Genomic DNA, 15,442 nt, shown 5'->3' on the forward strand with positions numbered 1-15,442 from the left:
CCACGCCGAGTTAATTTTTGTATTTTTAGTAGAGATGGGGTTTCACCATGTTGGTCAGGCTGGTCTCGAATTCCCTCCCAAAGTGCTGGGATTAGAGGAGTGAGCCACCATACCTGGCCCAAATTTAGTTTTTAGTAAATATTCTGGAGAAATGTCAGCTTCTCATCAAAACATGTAAGTATACTTAGAGGCCACTAAAGAATGGGGTATTATTAGGCTCTTTACTAAGGGTCTATAATAAACCCACATATGAATGCCCCACGCTATGCTACAGATGTGCAATGATGGGCTATAAAAACTTCTCCTAAATGTAAAATGTTCTAATCAGCCAGGTGAGAGTCAGTTGTGCCACGGTAGCAAATGACCTCCAAATCTCAGTGGCTTGGTTCATGTCTCACTATGCTCTGCTTCCAAGTTGTCTTGACCCTGGGACCTCTGCTGATGAAATGGCCACTACCTGGAACATTACCATTTGGAGACCATGGCAAAGCACTCACTGGCTCTTTGAGTTTCTGCCCGAAACAACACATGGCATGTCTGCTCACATTTCATCAGTACATGGCCAAGCTTACCTTCAGTGGAGCAGCTACATATCATCCTCCCCAAGAAGAGCAAAGAGATAAACAGGAAACAGTATACCTGTGCCTCACAAGAAGCTCACCAGCTGGAAGATAGGGACGTCTTGTTATTCACATGTGAGCCATCCAATGAGATAGAAACTGAGGCTTAGAGAGGTTACATAATTTAGCTAAGATCATATAGCCAATGGGTGATAGAACTGGATATCTAAGCCTGACCATTAATGACTCTATTTTTGGTGGGGGAGGGGGTGGTGGGGGTGATCAGAGTCTTGCTCTGTCACCCAGTCTGGAGTGCGGTGGCACGATCTCAGCTCATGGCAACTTCTGCCTCTCAGGTTCAAGCAATTCTCCTGCCTCAGCCCCCCGAGTAGCTGGGACCAGAGGTGTGCGCCACCATGCCCAACTAATTTTTGTATTCTTAGTAGAAACGGGGTTTCATCATATTGGCCAGGCTGCTCTCGAACTCCTGACCTCAGGTGATCCACCTGCCTCGGTCTCCCAAAGTGCTGGGATTACAGGCGCAAGTCACCGTGCCCAGCCCCATTAATGACTCTTAATCTTGGCTTCTAACCAGTTACCTCCTAGTTCCAACATTTCTCAAGCATCTCAGTGTCCATGAGAAGACCCTCTCTTTACCTCCAAGTCCTTTTCAAGGCCCAGCTATCAATATTCCCCTCCAAAATAAACTCACATCATCTTTCAAATTACTTCTTGCTGAAGCCAAAACTTGACATTGCTCCCTATAGTGTTTTGTCTTCTAAGGTCCTATAACAAAATATTTTTCTAGGTTTCACCATCTCTGACTTTGTTACTGTCACTTCTGCTAGTGGTTTTTCAGACTGGGTCTGCTTTCTCTACTCACGAGTAAGTGTGTTTTCCTTCTCCAATTTCACCACATTGGGATACGATTGGAAATTCCTTAATGCAGCCCATGAGTTATTATATTAATCAATAAACCTATCAATGGACACATAAGCTTAGCAACATGGTAGACACTATGGAATCCTGAAGAGAGTGCCTTCCAGTAACGAGCCAGAAGAATTGCTGAAGAGAAAAAGAATAACCATCATTCCCAAGAAAGACGCTTAATTGAGATGGTGGCATGTAGTTCAGTGTGCTCAGTTTACCCATTATATGTATGAATATATGTATATATAAATTAACAATTTGCCTTATTCTAAAAACAATTTTAGGTGGCTTACAAATGTGTAGTCATTATAGCAAGTTTAAGACATTAAATAAAAATAACGAAGAAAAGGGAAGACAAGCATTAGATTGAGTAAGATAAAGCGCATGCTACTAGATACAGTATGCTGAGTAGAGATGTCCCAAATTTCTTTTTTTTTTTTTTGTTTTTGGATATGGAGATGGAGTCTCCCTCTGTCACTCAGGCTGGAGTGCAATGGCGCGATCTCAGCTCACTGCAACTTCCACCTCCTGGGTTCAAGCAATTATCCTGCCTCAGCCTCCCAGATAGCTAGGACTACAGGCCCATGCTGCCATGCCCAGCTAATTTTTTGTATTTTTTATTAGAGACGGGGTTTCAATGTGTTGCACAGGCTAGTCTCGAACTCCTGAGCTCAGGCAATCCGCCTGCCTCACCTCTTAAAGTGCTAGGATTACAGGCGTGAGCCACTGCGCCCAGCCAAGATGTCCAAAATTTCTACATGTTTAGAAGCCAGCAAAATTAAATGCATGGAAATTTTTGAGACATATCAGATGAAAAGTTAAGTGTCCTTACTTTAATCACTTACTATCAATACAAGCTTAACATTAACCAACAGGGTCACCCAAATCAAAGGCAGTATTTGTTACTGGGTGTCCTGGAGGGTGTGGCACCTGAAGAAAGCTTAAACAGAAGTAAAAGGGTGAATTAAATCAAGACAGCCTAAATAGAATTTTCTTTAAGTATAGGGAGAAAAAGACTATTTATTCAGGTGTCAACTGTTTATTATGAGAGTACGATATTCTGTTAAAAGAATGTTTATGTGGAGATTACCTTTGTATTTCCATGCAGTTGTGGCGCCTGCTTGATCATGGCGACTCCTCCACTTTTCCCTGTTCTAGTTAATGATAAAAGTGAGGAGAAACACTCTTTCAGGGCTCAATGCTCTCCTTAACTTGTGTTCATCCTCCTTCTGCTCTTCCTTTCTTGCAGTATTTCCGAGGGAGTCTCTGTCAGAGCCACCAGACCTACTGCCTGAACTATTCAGCTGCTATCTTTTATCTTGAGAGCCTGAGGCAGAGAGATGACTTTGGAATTTATTTAAAAGTAAAGTATCATTTTCTTTTCTTTTGTATTTTTGCTGATGCTTTTTGGGTGTCACATGTACTGGGAATGATTATATCTAAATTAAATGGGAAAGAAGAAAACAAAATGATCAATAATATGTTTTAACTACAAATCTGCTTTCCTCATAAATACATTGTCCACTGCACACTTAGGAATATTAAATGGTGCACATCTGGAAAGATTATATTATCTAATATCCCTCCTGAAATGTTGGCTGGGGCTTAAAAATGTTTTCTTGGTTCATTATGCTATTTGCGGTAGAAATTGGTACATTGTAAGGAGAAAACTATATAGTAAGAACCTGAGCTTTGTGACTTAGAAGTTTGGCTCTTGCAGGAGTTAGTTCCAGCATAGAAACTTGGGACATCATTTACACTGTATTCTACATGAATGCTGCCCCCTTGATTAGAGTATAAAGCACAATGTCAATGTTGCCTCTGGAGCTGTGCCAATATGGCAGCTCTGGGTCCCACAGCATTAAAAGAAGAATTTTCTGCCAGGGTCCTTCAGCATTTTCTAGTAGCCAAGCCTAAAACCTATCTCCCCTGACTTCTCTAATTCTGTTGGTCCCTGCTTTGATATTTCTTTAGTCTGAACTGAACCTTTTCAGTCCTGTGCCAGAGCCCTTTTGGATCATCCAGAGAAAATGGTCCAAGCCTTTCCAGAAAACCAGCTCTTCCCTGCAGCTGCGAGAAGCCCCTGCCAGAGCATGACCTCAGAGGCTTGGGAGGAAAGGCTCCCATGGTTCCCAATGACTCAGCTGTGAATCAGTGGGCTTCCGCCCCAGCCTTGATATGCCAGGAAGCCTGGGTGTGCCAAGGACGAGAAAAGGGGAATAATCTTAGGGAAGAGACTTGGCCATATTTTTGTAGCTTCAGCCCTTTAGTGTTTTTTTTGCTACTCAAACTGAAAGGTGATAGCTCATTAGATTTCCAAATGCATGAATAATCATATTGCAAATGTTTCCCCTAGAAGCTGATGGATTACACTCTTAGCTAGGCCCCCAAACTGGGAGAATCCAGGTTCCTTTCTCTCCCTTCCAAGCTGGGAAAGAGATTAATTTAACAAGGTCCAACTATTGTTTTCAAATAACTTTGGAAAATCCTATATACATATATTCAAAGCCAGATGATTTTTGACAAAGGCACCAAAAACATACATTGGAGAAACAACACTCTCTTGAGTAAATAGCATTAGGAAAACTGAATATCTCGATGCAGAAGAATGAAAGTAGACCCCTATCTCTCACCATATGTAAAAATCAAATAAAAATGAATTAAAGATTTAAGTGTAAGGCCTGAAACTATAAAACTGGTAGAAGAAAACATAAAAGAAGCACTTGAGGACATTGGTCTACACAAATATTTTAGGGCTAAGACTTCAAAAGCATAGGCAACAAAAACAAAAATAGACAAATAGTACTATATTAAACTAAACGGCTCCTGCACAGCAGAAGAAACAACAGAGTAAAGAGGCAATCTGCAGAATGGGAGAAAATATTTGCAAACTATTCATTTGACAGGGGACTAATACCTAGAATATACAAGGAACTTGAAGATCAAAAAAATAAATCCCATTACAAAGTGAGAAAAGAATCTGAGTTGACATTTCCCAAAATGAAACATACAAATGGCCAACAGGTATATGAAAAAAAAAAAATCTCAACATCACTAATCGTCAAGGAAATGCAAATCAAAACCACAATGAGATATCATCTTACCCCAGTTAAAATGACTACTAAGATATCATCTTACCCCAGTTAAAATGGCTGCTATTTAAAAAGATAAAATAAAATAAGAGATGCTGGCAAGGATATAGAGAAAAGGGAACTTTTGTACACTGTTGGCAGGTATGTAAATTAGTGCAGTTGTTATAGTAAACAAAATGGAGGTTTCTCAGAAAACTAAAAATAAAACTACCATTATCCAGCAATCCCACCACTAGGTGTTTAGCCAAAAGAAATAAATCAGTGTATCAAAGGAATACCTGCTCCTCCCATGCTTATTGCAGCACTATTTACAGTAGCCAAAATATAGAATCAATCTAGTGTTCATCAACAGATGATTAGGTAAAGAAAATGTAACATATCTGTGCAGTAGACTATTATTCAGCCAGAAAAAAGAATGAAATCTTGTCACTTACAGATAAAACTAGAGGTCATTAAGTGAAATAAGCCAAGCACAGAAAGACAGATATTGCATGTTCTCACTTGTATGTGGGAGCTAAAAAAGTTAGTCTCATGGAGATAGAGAGTAGGATGATGGTTACCAGAGGCTGGGAAGAGGGGAGAAGGGGATGAAGAGAGGTCGGTTGATGGGTGCAAACATACAGTTATAGAAGGAGTAAGTTCTAGTGCATGATAACCCACTAGGGTGACTATAGTTAACAATAATTTATTGTGTGTTTCAAAATAACTAGAAGATTTGAAATGTTCTCAACATAAAGAAATGATGTTAATAATTATGGTTATGGCTATCCTAAATACCCTGATTTCATCATTACACATTGTACACATGTATCAAAATATCATGTGTGCCCCATAAATATGTACAATTGTATATGAATAAAAATGTGTGTGACATCCAGGGATATTTTGGGAAAGGTAGTAGAGGATAAGTGCTGTTATAACACATGATGCTTTTTTTTTTTTTTGAGACAGAGTTTTGTTTTCTCACCCAGGCTGGAGTGCGGTGGCACAATCTCAGCTCGCTGCAACCTCCGTCTCCCAGGTTCAAGCGATTCTTCTGCCTCAGTCTCCAGAGTAGCTGGAACTACAGGTGCCTGCCACCGTGCCTGGCAAATTTTTTATATTTTCGGTAGAGACGGGGCTTCACTATGTTGGCCAGGCTGGTCTTGAACTCCTAACCTCAAGTGATCCACCTGCCTCAGCCTCCCACAGTGCTGGGATTACAGACGTGAGCCACCGCACCCAGCTCACATGATGCTTTTATAACGCATAATACTTCACCAGACACTTTCTCAAACATCTCTTAATTCGGAACACAAACCTGTAAAGTTGATTACATTGTTCCTTTGTGTCCCTGAGGCTCAGAGAGGTTAGATGACATTTGCAAGGCCACATAGCCAATAGGTGGCAAAGAAAGAACCATAGCAAGATTTTCAGGCAAAAAAATCCAGTGCTCTTCATATCAGAACTATTTCCAATTCCTTGGGGCTATGACCCATCACCATGGAACTATTAGCCTCATGAAACAAAGGTGAGAGGTCAGGGAGAGACTCGCAGATACCCAAGGTGACTAGTGTTTGAGCCCTTGCTATGGCCTAGACACTGTGCTACATGCTGGTCATCCATCCTCTTCTTGTCTACACACTAACTCTGCAGAATTTGATATTGTTCCCGTTTTTCAGGAGTTTAGACAAATTAGGCAACATGCTGAAAGATATGGTTGTTCTAGGGCAGAGGTAGGATTGAATTCAGACCTGTCTGAACCCAATGTTGAATCTCCTACAATGTTCTGTTGTAAACAACGTTCTTGGAGAACGTAAACCTATGCCATGTTATGGGCTGCCTGAAATCGACCTATAAATGCAGTGGGATAAATTTACCCTCCACACCACATGAGGCTAAGCTTTATGAATGTATGTACTTTATCCTGGTGTACATTAATGGGATTAGAATTCTTCCTACTGTTTGTTTTTTAATTAATTAATTTATTTATGTATTTATTTATTTATTGAGACAGAGTCTGACTCTGTCACCCAGGCTAGAGTGCAGTGGTACAATCACAGCTCACTGCAACCTCAGACTCCTGGGCTCAGGTGACCCTCACACCTCAGCCTCCCACATAGCTGGGACTACAAACATGTGCCACCACACCTGACTAATTTTCTAATTTTTATGGAGATGGGGTCTCGCTAGGTTGCCCAGCTTGTCTCAAACTCCTAAGTTCAAGCAATCCTCCTGCTTACTATTTTAGAAACAAAACGATGCAGAGGAAGAAACTGGGAACTTCGTACCAAGTCTCTTCGTGTGGCACAACTAACAATGGCTAAGAACTCTAGCTGCCATGGACTGAGTGTTTGAGATGTGCCAGGCTCTGTTCTAAGCACTTTGTGAGAATTATCTCATTAAAACCTCTCACCAACCTAATGAGGTAGTTACTCTTGTTATCAACATTTTACTGATAATTTTTAGAAAGGGTAAGTAAATTTCCTGAGGTTCCAAGAATTCTGGTTGCCCCATCCTAATGCTGCATCCCACTAAGACAAATTTATTAGGATATTTTATTTTATTTTATTTTATTTTATTTTTTATTTTATTTTATTTTATTTCATTTATTTTATTTTATTTTATTTATTTTATTTTATATTTTATTTTATTTTATATTTTATTTTATATTTTATTTTATTTTATTATTTTATTTTATTATTTTATTTTATTTTATTTTATTTTATTATTTTATTTTATTATTTTGGAACAGGGTCTCACTCTGTCACCCAGGCTGGAATGCAGTGGCACCATCATGGCTCACTGCAGCCTCAACCTCCCTTGCTCAAGCGACAGGACATATTTTCATCTGGGGCCCTTGAATCCTTTCACAGTTCCCCTAAGCATATTGGATACTTATTATAAAGCAAAAGTAGCCTCTATTGATCTAGACTTATCAATAAAAAGGCCTTTTATGTCCAATCTCTCTCAATGGAAGTGTTATTTGCCTTCCCTAACGGACCTGAAAAATGAAGTCAATAGAGAGATGAAAGGAAAACTTACAGCTTTACTTTTATAATGTCAAGCCATTCTTTTTGTCTCTTCTGAAGTTTTCTGAAATACAAATGCTTCCAACATCCCTGCCTGGATCCTTCTCTAAATTATTTACCACGGATGCTTCTTGCCAATTGTTACCTGGAGGAGTTTGGTGTTTTCACTTTGACCCTGAATACCAGTGCACGCTGGCAGCCACAGCTGTTCCCCACAGCAGGGCAATTTGGGGCAGTGGCCTGGGGCAGTGAGTTTTTTGGGAGGACAGGGGCCTAACTGCTGCTGAGAAATCAGTTACAAGAACTCCCAGCCACCCAAGAGGTCCAGGACCTGAAGGTAGCACTGGAACGCTGCTGCCCGTGAGTCAACATGGAAATCAGCCGCTAAAGCATAGCCCTGCTCCCCTCCACTCCCAGCCTTATCTTCATCTGTCGTGCTCACTTCTGTCTCCATCCCTGCCAACCTCAATGAGAACCACAGTCATTTGGAGGAGACCTTGGAGATCATCTAGCCAAGAGCCATCTAGCCACACTGGAGTCTGAGGTTGCAGTCAGCCATGATTGGACCACTGCACTTAGCCTGGGTGACAAAGTCAGACCTACCCTGTCTCAATAAATAAATAAATAAATAAAAATAAAACAGTTGGAAAAATTCTAATCCCATTAATATACATCAAGATAAAGTACATACATTCATAAAGCTTAGCCTCATGTGGTATGAAGGGTAAATTTATCCCACTGCATTTATAGGTCGATTTCAGGCAGCCCATAACACAACATAGGCTTAAGTTCTACAAGAATGTTGTTTACAACAGAGCATTGTAGAAGATTGAACATCGGGTTCAGACAGGTCTGAATTCAAATCCTACCTCTGCCCTAGAACAACCATATCTTTCAGCACGTTGCCTAATTTGTCTAAGAAGAGAAATCGGAGGTCCAGAGAGAGAAGGTGGTCCTTGGAGCCTGGCTTCTGGAGCTCCATTCACCATGCACTGTGAGCTCACTCTCATGGCCAGCCACCTGTACACAGGGGAGAGGAGAAGATTGAATTGTAGACAGAGTCTTGCTCTGTTGCCCAGCCTGTAATGCAGTGGTGCTATCTTGGCTCACTGCAACCTCTGCCTACCGGGTTCAGGCAATTCTCCCACCTCAGCTTCCTGCGTAGCTGGGATTACAGGCGTGCGCCACCATGCCTGGCTAATTTTTTTTTTTTTGTATTTTTGGTAGAAACGGAGTTTCACCATGTTGGCCAGGCTGGTCTCGAACTCCTGACCTCCAGTGATCCTCCCACCTCGGCCTCCCAAAGTGCTGGGATTACAGGCATGAGCCACCACGCCCGGCCAAGAAGATTGAATTTGGCAGAATCCCCATGATGAAGAGCCCAGGATGTTTTCCAAAACATCCAGCTGAGCCAGGTACTATGGCTCACACCTGTAATCCCAGCACTTTGGGAGGTGTGCAGATTGCTGGAACCCAGGCGTTTGAGGCTAGCCTGGGCAACATAGTGATATCCAGTCTCTACAAAAAATTTAAAAATTAGCCAGGTGTGGTGGCCTGCACCTGTGGTGTCAGCTATGTGAAAGGCTGAGGTGGGAGGACTGCTTGAGACCAGGAGGTCAAGGCTGCAGTGAGCCATGATCATACCACTGCACTTCAGCCTGGGTGACAGGGCAAGATCCTGTTCCCCATCCCCCTTAAAAAAAAAAAACAGCTGATAGTGTGGGAGGAGAGTGAGACCCCACCTCACCCCACCAAGGACATGGTCAAGCTATGAAAGACAAATGCAAATTGCTAGGCAAGAGGCTAGGAGATAAAAGGGGAGGGTTTGTTTAAGGGGGAAGAGAGAAAGAACTCTCTCTTTCCAAAGAAGAGAATAGAGCCAGCAAAATAGTAGGGTCTCATGGGCTGTGTATTTGACCCCTCTTCACAACCCAAAATCTTCAGTAAAATAAATACGTATACTCACAAAACATGTCATGAGGGGGTTTACAGCAGAAACTAACATAGGAAACCAAGGGGATATGTTTGTTCCATGTTGTTCAGGGAAGAAACAGTATACATGGAAACAAGAGTCCAGGAGCCAGAGGAAGATGTTAGAATCTCAGTCCCATGAGTTGGTAAATATCTAGGGGAGGAGTTTAGACCTCCACAGGCCATTGGATTGGTGGGGGGTTGAGCTAATTGTACCTAGATCTTCAAAATGCAAGGACTGACACGTGGGCTTGAAGACATCTCTGGGGATGCAGCAGGAGTCTCCTGCAGTGTGCCTGGCCCACCTGAGGATGGCCCTGAAGGGTCTGGGTCACAAGGCAAAGGATTTAACCTGGAGAATGAAAGGAGAATGGAAGGTGGAAATGAGGCAACAGCCTGCAGCAGGAGAAATATTTAGTGTAAAGGCAGGATCCCTGTTGTAGTCAATTCAGGCTGCTAGAACAACACACCATAGACTGGGTGGCTTATAATCAACAGGAGTTTGTTGCTCACAGTTCTGGAGGCTGAAAGTCTCCTGGTGCCAGCATGGTTAGGGGCCGGTGATGGCCCTTTTGTGGGTTGCAGACAGCTGTCTTCTCGCTGTAGCCTCACATGGTGAAAAGAGAGCTAGAGAGCTCTCCGGGACCCCTTTTATAGGGACACTAATCCCATTCAAGAGGGCTCCATGCTCATGGCCTAATCACCTCCCAACAGCCCCACTTCCTAATGCCGCTCCACTGAAGGTTAGGATTTTATTAGGTTGGTGCAAAAGTAATTGCAGTTTTTGGCGTTAAAAGTAATATTAGGTGGATTTGAAGGAAAGCAAACATTCAGTTGATATTAATCCCTTTATCGCTGAACTCAGGGTCAATTTGGTGTGAGTGTTCAGGGTAAGAGAAGAGGAAGAGAACACACACACCCCTATACTCCTTCCTGATGTACCCATCTGCATGCTGGCCAGCAACCACGTCCATGCCTCATTTGCCACCTTCATTAAAGCCAGAGCCCCTTACGTTCAAGGAAGCTCACATTCAAAGAAACAGCACAGCAGATAAAACAAGCGTAAAAGCTATTCTCATGTTTACTCAGGTTTCTCAAACATCATTTATGGAACCCCAATGGATAACCCATGGCAATACTTACTACAATTACTAAATTACTAAAATTTCTTGTCTTCCCCGGTGCTGGCATACCCTAGAACTGCCTCTTCTTCCAAACCCCAACTCCAAACTCTCCCTATTGAAAATTGTCCGCATCTCTACCTCTCTCCTCTCCTCTCTTTGTTCTAGATCAACTGAGCCTCTTCAACTTCTATCTTCTATTTTCATTTCTCTTCATTTTCGATCATTACCCTGATCCTCCCCAACTAAGAGGAGTCAAGGAACTGACCCAACAAGCAAGAATCCTTCCTTTTCCCTTCTGCCTCTCCAGTCTCAATTCTCAATTGTCCTAACTGCATCACAACAAGGATGGGACCAAAGCTGATGAAACCAGAACTCTCCCCTGAAGGCCAGGGAAGAAAAGCCAATGGGCAAAACTAAATTCACTCTCCAATGAGAAGGGTAAACAAGGCTGGAACCCACCTATTACTACATCTTATCACTACTGCTAATGGAACATGCACTTTTCAGGGGATTTAATTTGTGGCTTATAAATTGTCCCAGCAAACTCACAAGTAGGTCCTGCAGTTACTGAGTAAAATCTCCAAGAACCTCTCATATCCAGGCTTCTTAGTGGCTCAGTGGGAGAGGTGATCATTCTGATATGGCTGCTTTTGCCTTCCCCAGTGGTGTGAGCAGAATGAACAATGCAGACGGCTCCACGTGCCAGAGCTGCTAGTGGCCCCACTACAGAGGCTCACTCGATATCCGTTGTTGCTGAAGAATATCTGGAAAAGGAGCATGGACTCTGCTGAGAAAATCATGATCTACTCCATCAAGGAAAAGGTGGAAAAGTCCATCCGTAAGTCCCTGAGATAAGTGAGCTTAATTACAGAATTGTGGCCTTGTGACTCCTGGAAACCTTCTGGGCTTCCATCCTAGGAGGTAATTCCACTGATTTGAGGTCATGGCTCTTGGAAATGTGGGTTCAAGTGTGAGTGCATTGTAAATCAAATGCGCACAGAACAATGGGCTCCAGTCACATCCTGGCGAACCCTATGAGAACTCTAGCACCAAGTTTACACAGGATGTGGCTCTGTCTCCAAGTGTTTCAGAAGTGAGTTCAGGCAGGAAAAGTTCTACTTCCCAGATAACTGAAGGCACTTTGTTTTTAACAGCCGTACTGACCCCACACACAAAGCAAATGGGAGTAAACACCATGGAAAGTGTGTCCAGAGGATAAATTACCATTCATCATTTCTTAAATCACCGAAAGCCAGGGTCAATATGGAACTACTGCCAACTGCAATCTTTAAACTGAAATTTGAGGATGGGAACTGAGCAGGCCCTATGATGACTTAAGTTTATTTGTGTAACTCTGTATAACTGAAATTCCCATAAAGAAGTTCATGATTTATGCCCAAAAACCAAGATTTTCCTCGTGGGCATCAGAAGGGAACAATTCAAATTGGTGATATTCAGCTATACATAATTTTTTTCTTTTACAAGTTTAAAAGTAAAATGATACTGCCTGAAACAGATGCTTTAAAAAAAAAAGTAAGACTGTTTAATTGGGTTTTTCTTCTGTTTTTAAATTTTTTATTCAAATTCTAAAATTATCTGAAGAGCTGGAATTAAGTTTATCAAGCAAGTAAGACAAAGAATCTCTTAAAGATGACTTCTTTAGCTTTAGAAGTAATCTTAAGGATTATTACTCATTTGGATGGGTTTGTGAGGAAAGATAAAGCAGCACCTCTGGAGATTTCTCAGTGAAAGATGGATTCTCATTGTTGAGGGAAGAGATTTGTGTGGCCTCCCTTTATGTCTATTACCTTAAAGATGGTGAATTCTGAAGGTTCCACTAACAATGTGATTCTTCAGGTCTCTTACTTGCCCTCCATGTTTTCAAAAAACATTTCAAACCCTCAATAGCAACATGTTATTAGAAAACATTGGAAAATGAATATAAACCTTCCAAAGAGAAATTGAGTTCCTACCAAAAAAGAAATAATCACCATGATCATGAAGTGAATATATACTTTTATGATTGGGACAAAAACATATGTTTGTCCTTGTTAGTCTGATTTTTTTTTTCCTCCTCTAATTATAGGCTGTGTGGTCTAGGGAATAAGAGAAAACTACCAAGGATTTTATTGGTATTATTGAAATAAGAATACACAATATACTTTCAAACTACTGAATTAAATTAGCTAAGCTTGATTTTTCTCTGCAAGAGACTGATTCCAAATTAGTGAGTTTTCTAAGACGCATGAACAGCAAGCAATATGTGAAATGAACTTTATATATTGTCTGGCTCCAGGGGCAGCCAGTGTTTCTAAATGATTCCTGTGGACCTTGGTTAAAATTTATACTGCAATGTCATATGCACCTAAAAATATACTGACTATGTCATGTCTTTCAGGGGACCTTGAAGGAAAAGTGAAGTGGCTGGACAATTTCCAAAAATTTAGATATCTACAGGAGATTATAGTGTGGCCACCGCTTTGGGATAGAGATAAAAGGTTTTTCATTCCAGAGGTACAAAAAAAAAATCAATTAGGACTTATGTCCATTTCTGGAATTTGGGCATTCAGATAGAAATACAATCATCTTAGATGTCCCCATCTGTCCACTTGAAGAATAAATCTAGTTTCATGAACAAGAAGTAAAGTCTTCATCTGTAGGGCATTGTATGCGGGGAGGCTGAGGTCGCTGTGCCATTCTTATGATGGTCCTTCTGAGAGGGTTTTTCATTGTTTCCCATTCCCATGTCCATCTGCTGGCATTTCCAAATGTCATGAACTTTCTAGATGGAGTTAATTGCCCCAGCTTTTTAAACATGTTCTCTTCCAATCACTAACAACATCTCTTTTATTTTCTCGCTTGTTTTACAAGTGTTTGAAACACATTTTTAAAGAACACATGGCAGAAAACATCTTGTCACCAACCAGCAGACACCTTCTCTATGAAGGAAAATTAACTCTTGCAGGTAAATAACTGCTTCCTTTAAAAAACCCAACATCTGTGCCGCCTTGTAACTTGTTTGACTGCCAGTAATTGAAGAGCAGGAGGACTTGTGTTTGCCTATGTTCCAGGTGATGGAGGGTGTGAATGAGAGAGTCCCTATGGAGTCACACAGACTCAGGCTTGAATGAAGACTTCGCAACATAACTAGCTAGGTGCTCTCTGTTTTCTCTCTGTAATGGGATAACTCTAACTATTCCATAGGATTGTTAAAACAACATACAAGAACAACTTCGCTCACGGTCTGGAATCTAGTAAATAGTCAATGGCAGCTGTTATCATCATAATCGTTGTACTCCCCCAATGAGCCAGACAATCAAGCTCTCAAATGTTTATGGAGACTCTATTATATTATATAGGACAAGTTGTGCTAGGTAGGTACTATTGGAAGATATAAAAACTCATTCTGTATAATTCTTTCCCTCTAGTTGGGAAGCTCTGCCTTATTACCAGACCTTCAGGATAAGTTCAGAAAAGAAGAGAGTCCTTGAGGCTGCAGTGCCCTGGAGAGGCTTCGTGCAGTCCATGGGACTGGAGGTGGGCTTGGAGGGGCAGGAAGGATGAGGTCAGTGGAAGGACAGGAGGGAGGTCATTCAGATAAATAGCACAGCTGGAGAAGTCTTGGAGGCAGAAGCCCCTGGAGAAACTTAGTTTCTAGCAGAGTACATAGGAAGCCAAGCCCCTGGGGCTGACTGCCTGGCTCACTCCCTGCTCAGCCTTTTCTGCCTGTACAACCTTGGGCCATTTACAGTGATCTCCTGTGCTTCAGTTTACCTTACTTTATTGTGAGGATTAAATGAACCAACGGATGTGTAAGCACTCAAAAGAATGATTGACACAAATTTCATGCCCAATAAATATCATGATGATCAGAAAGGCTGCCTGGCTGAAATAAGGTTTTAAATCATTTATTTATTCATTTCTGCACAAAATCTTGACCAGGCACTTACTGAGTGTGAAGTCCTGTGGGATGGGATGTTGCCTAACAGTGGTGATGTGATATCTGGTGGGGAGGGGCTGGGAAATAATCCCTTAATACATGTATATTGAAACTCTGCTCTATTTTAGAGGTAGTCTGGATGTCAGGTTAGGACATAATCCCCACCTGGCAGCTGTTAAATAAGGAAGATAGACATATCCAGCGTTTTATATCCAAGGGCTTTTTCATACATTGTCTCTTTCCAGTAAGTTAAATAGAGAAGTTGCTTTTAATCCCTTGTTATAGGTGAGAGATTTGGGGCTCAGGGAGGTTCTGTATCATGCCCAAGTTCACCTGGTGGGTAAATGACCGAGTACCAGCTGGAGCCTGGCTGCCTTGGTCCAGCTGGCTTCCAGAATCAGAGCAACTGCCTTGGAAACCAAACAGAAGGACCCAGCCAGGAAACTGCAGGCAACCAGAAGTCATTGAGCTCTCAGACAGGGAAGTGATAGGTTAAAAGGGTGTTGAAGAAAGCGTTGTTAATAAGCAGTGTTCAAAATGGCATAGAGGAGACCAAAGCAGAGTGGTGAAACCGGAAGTTCAGTGGTGAACACGGTGAGGTGAGAAGACTCGGGGCCTGTCTGTTGCTCTACCATTTTTAACATGTGGTCAACCCACCCCCCACTTTCATTTGAAAACATAACAATTTTAACTTTTCTTTAATGTTATTTACAACTTCAAAGTAATTATATTTTATGACAAGAACAAATCAAAGTAATAAAGCAAAACATTATCTGTGTTCCAGCATGTATCTTTACCTCCAAAATTAGCCCCA

The 15,442-nt window shown here is 41.5% G+C and overlaps 1 protein-coding gene across 3 annotated transcripts in view, besides 1 other annotated feature; it reads left to right on the forward strand.

The window, feature by feature from the left end:
* The window catches only part of PLEKHG7 (pleckstrin homology and RhoGEF domain containing G7), a 69,467-nt gene that overhangs the window by 39,750 nt on the left and 14,275 nt on the right, over nucleotides 1–15,442 (forward strand). For all 3 annotated transcript variants that reach the window (NM_001377329.1, XM_047428867.1, XM_047428868.1), the window contains 4 exons: nucleotides 2,740–2,853; nucleotides 11,352–11,526; nucleotides 13,087–13,202; nucleotides 13,560–13,653. In NM_001377329.1, the coding sequence (NP_001364258.1) occupies nucleotides 2,740–2,853; nucleotides 11,352–11,526; nucleotides 13,087–13,202; nucleotides 13,560–13,653 (499 nt within the window). The remainder of the gene's footprint in view (nucleotides 1–2,739; nucleotides 2,854–11,351; nucleotides 11,527–13,086; nucleotides 13,203–13,559; nucleotides 13,654–15,442) is intronic.
* Nucleotides 3,006–4,205: an enhancer, noted in NCBI's record as "P300/CBP strongly-dependent group 1 enhancer chr12:93139520-93140719 (GRCh37/hg19 assembly coordinates)". NCBI's record gives its function as "activates an origin of replication core promoter dependent on BRD2, BRD4, P300/CBP, MED14 and CDK7 cofactors, with strong dependence on P300/CBP, by STARR-seq in HCT116 cells {active_cell/tissue: HCT116}" and the evidence as "EXISTENCE:reporter gene assay evidence [ECO:0000049][PMID:35650434]".

The sequence above is a fragment of the Homo sapiens genome, chromosome 12, assembly GCF_000001405.40.
Source record: "Homo sapiens chromosome 12, GRCh38.p14 Primary Assembly".
Classification (NCBI taxonomy): Eukaryota; Metazoa; Chordata; class Mammalia; order Primates; family Hominidae; genus Homo; species Homo sapiens.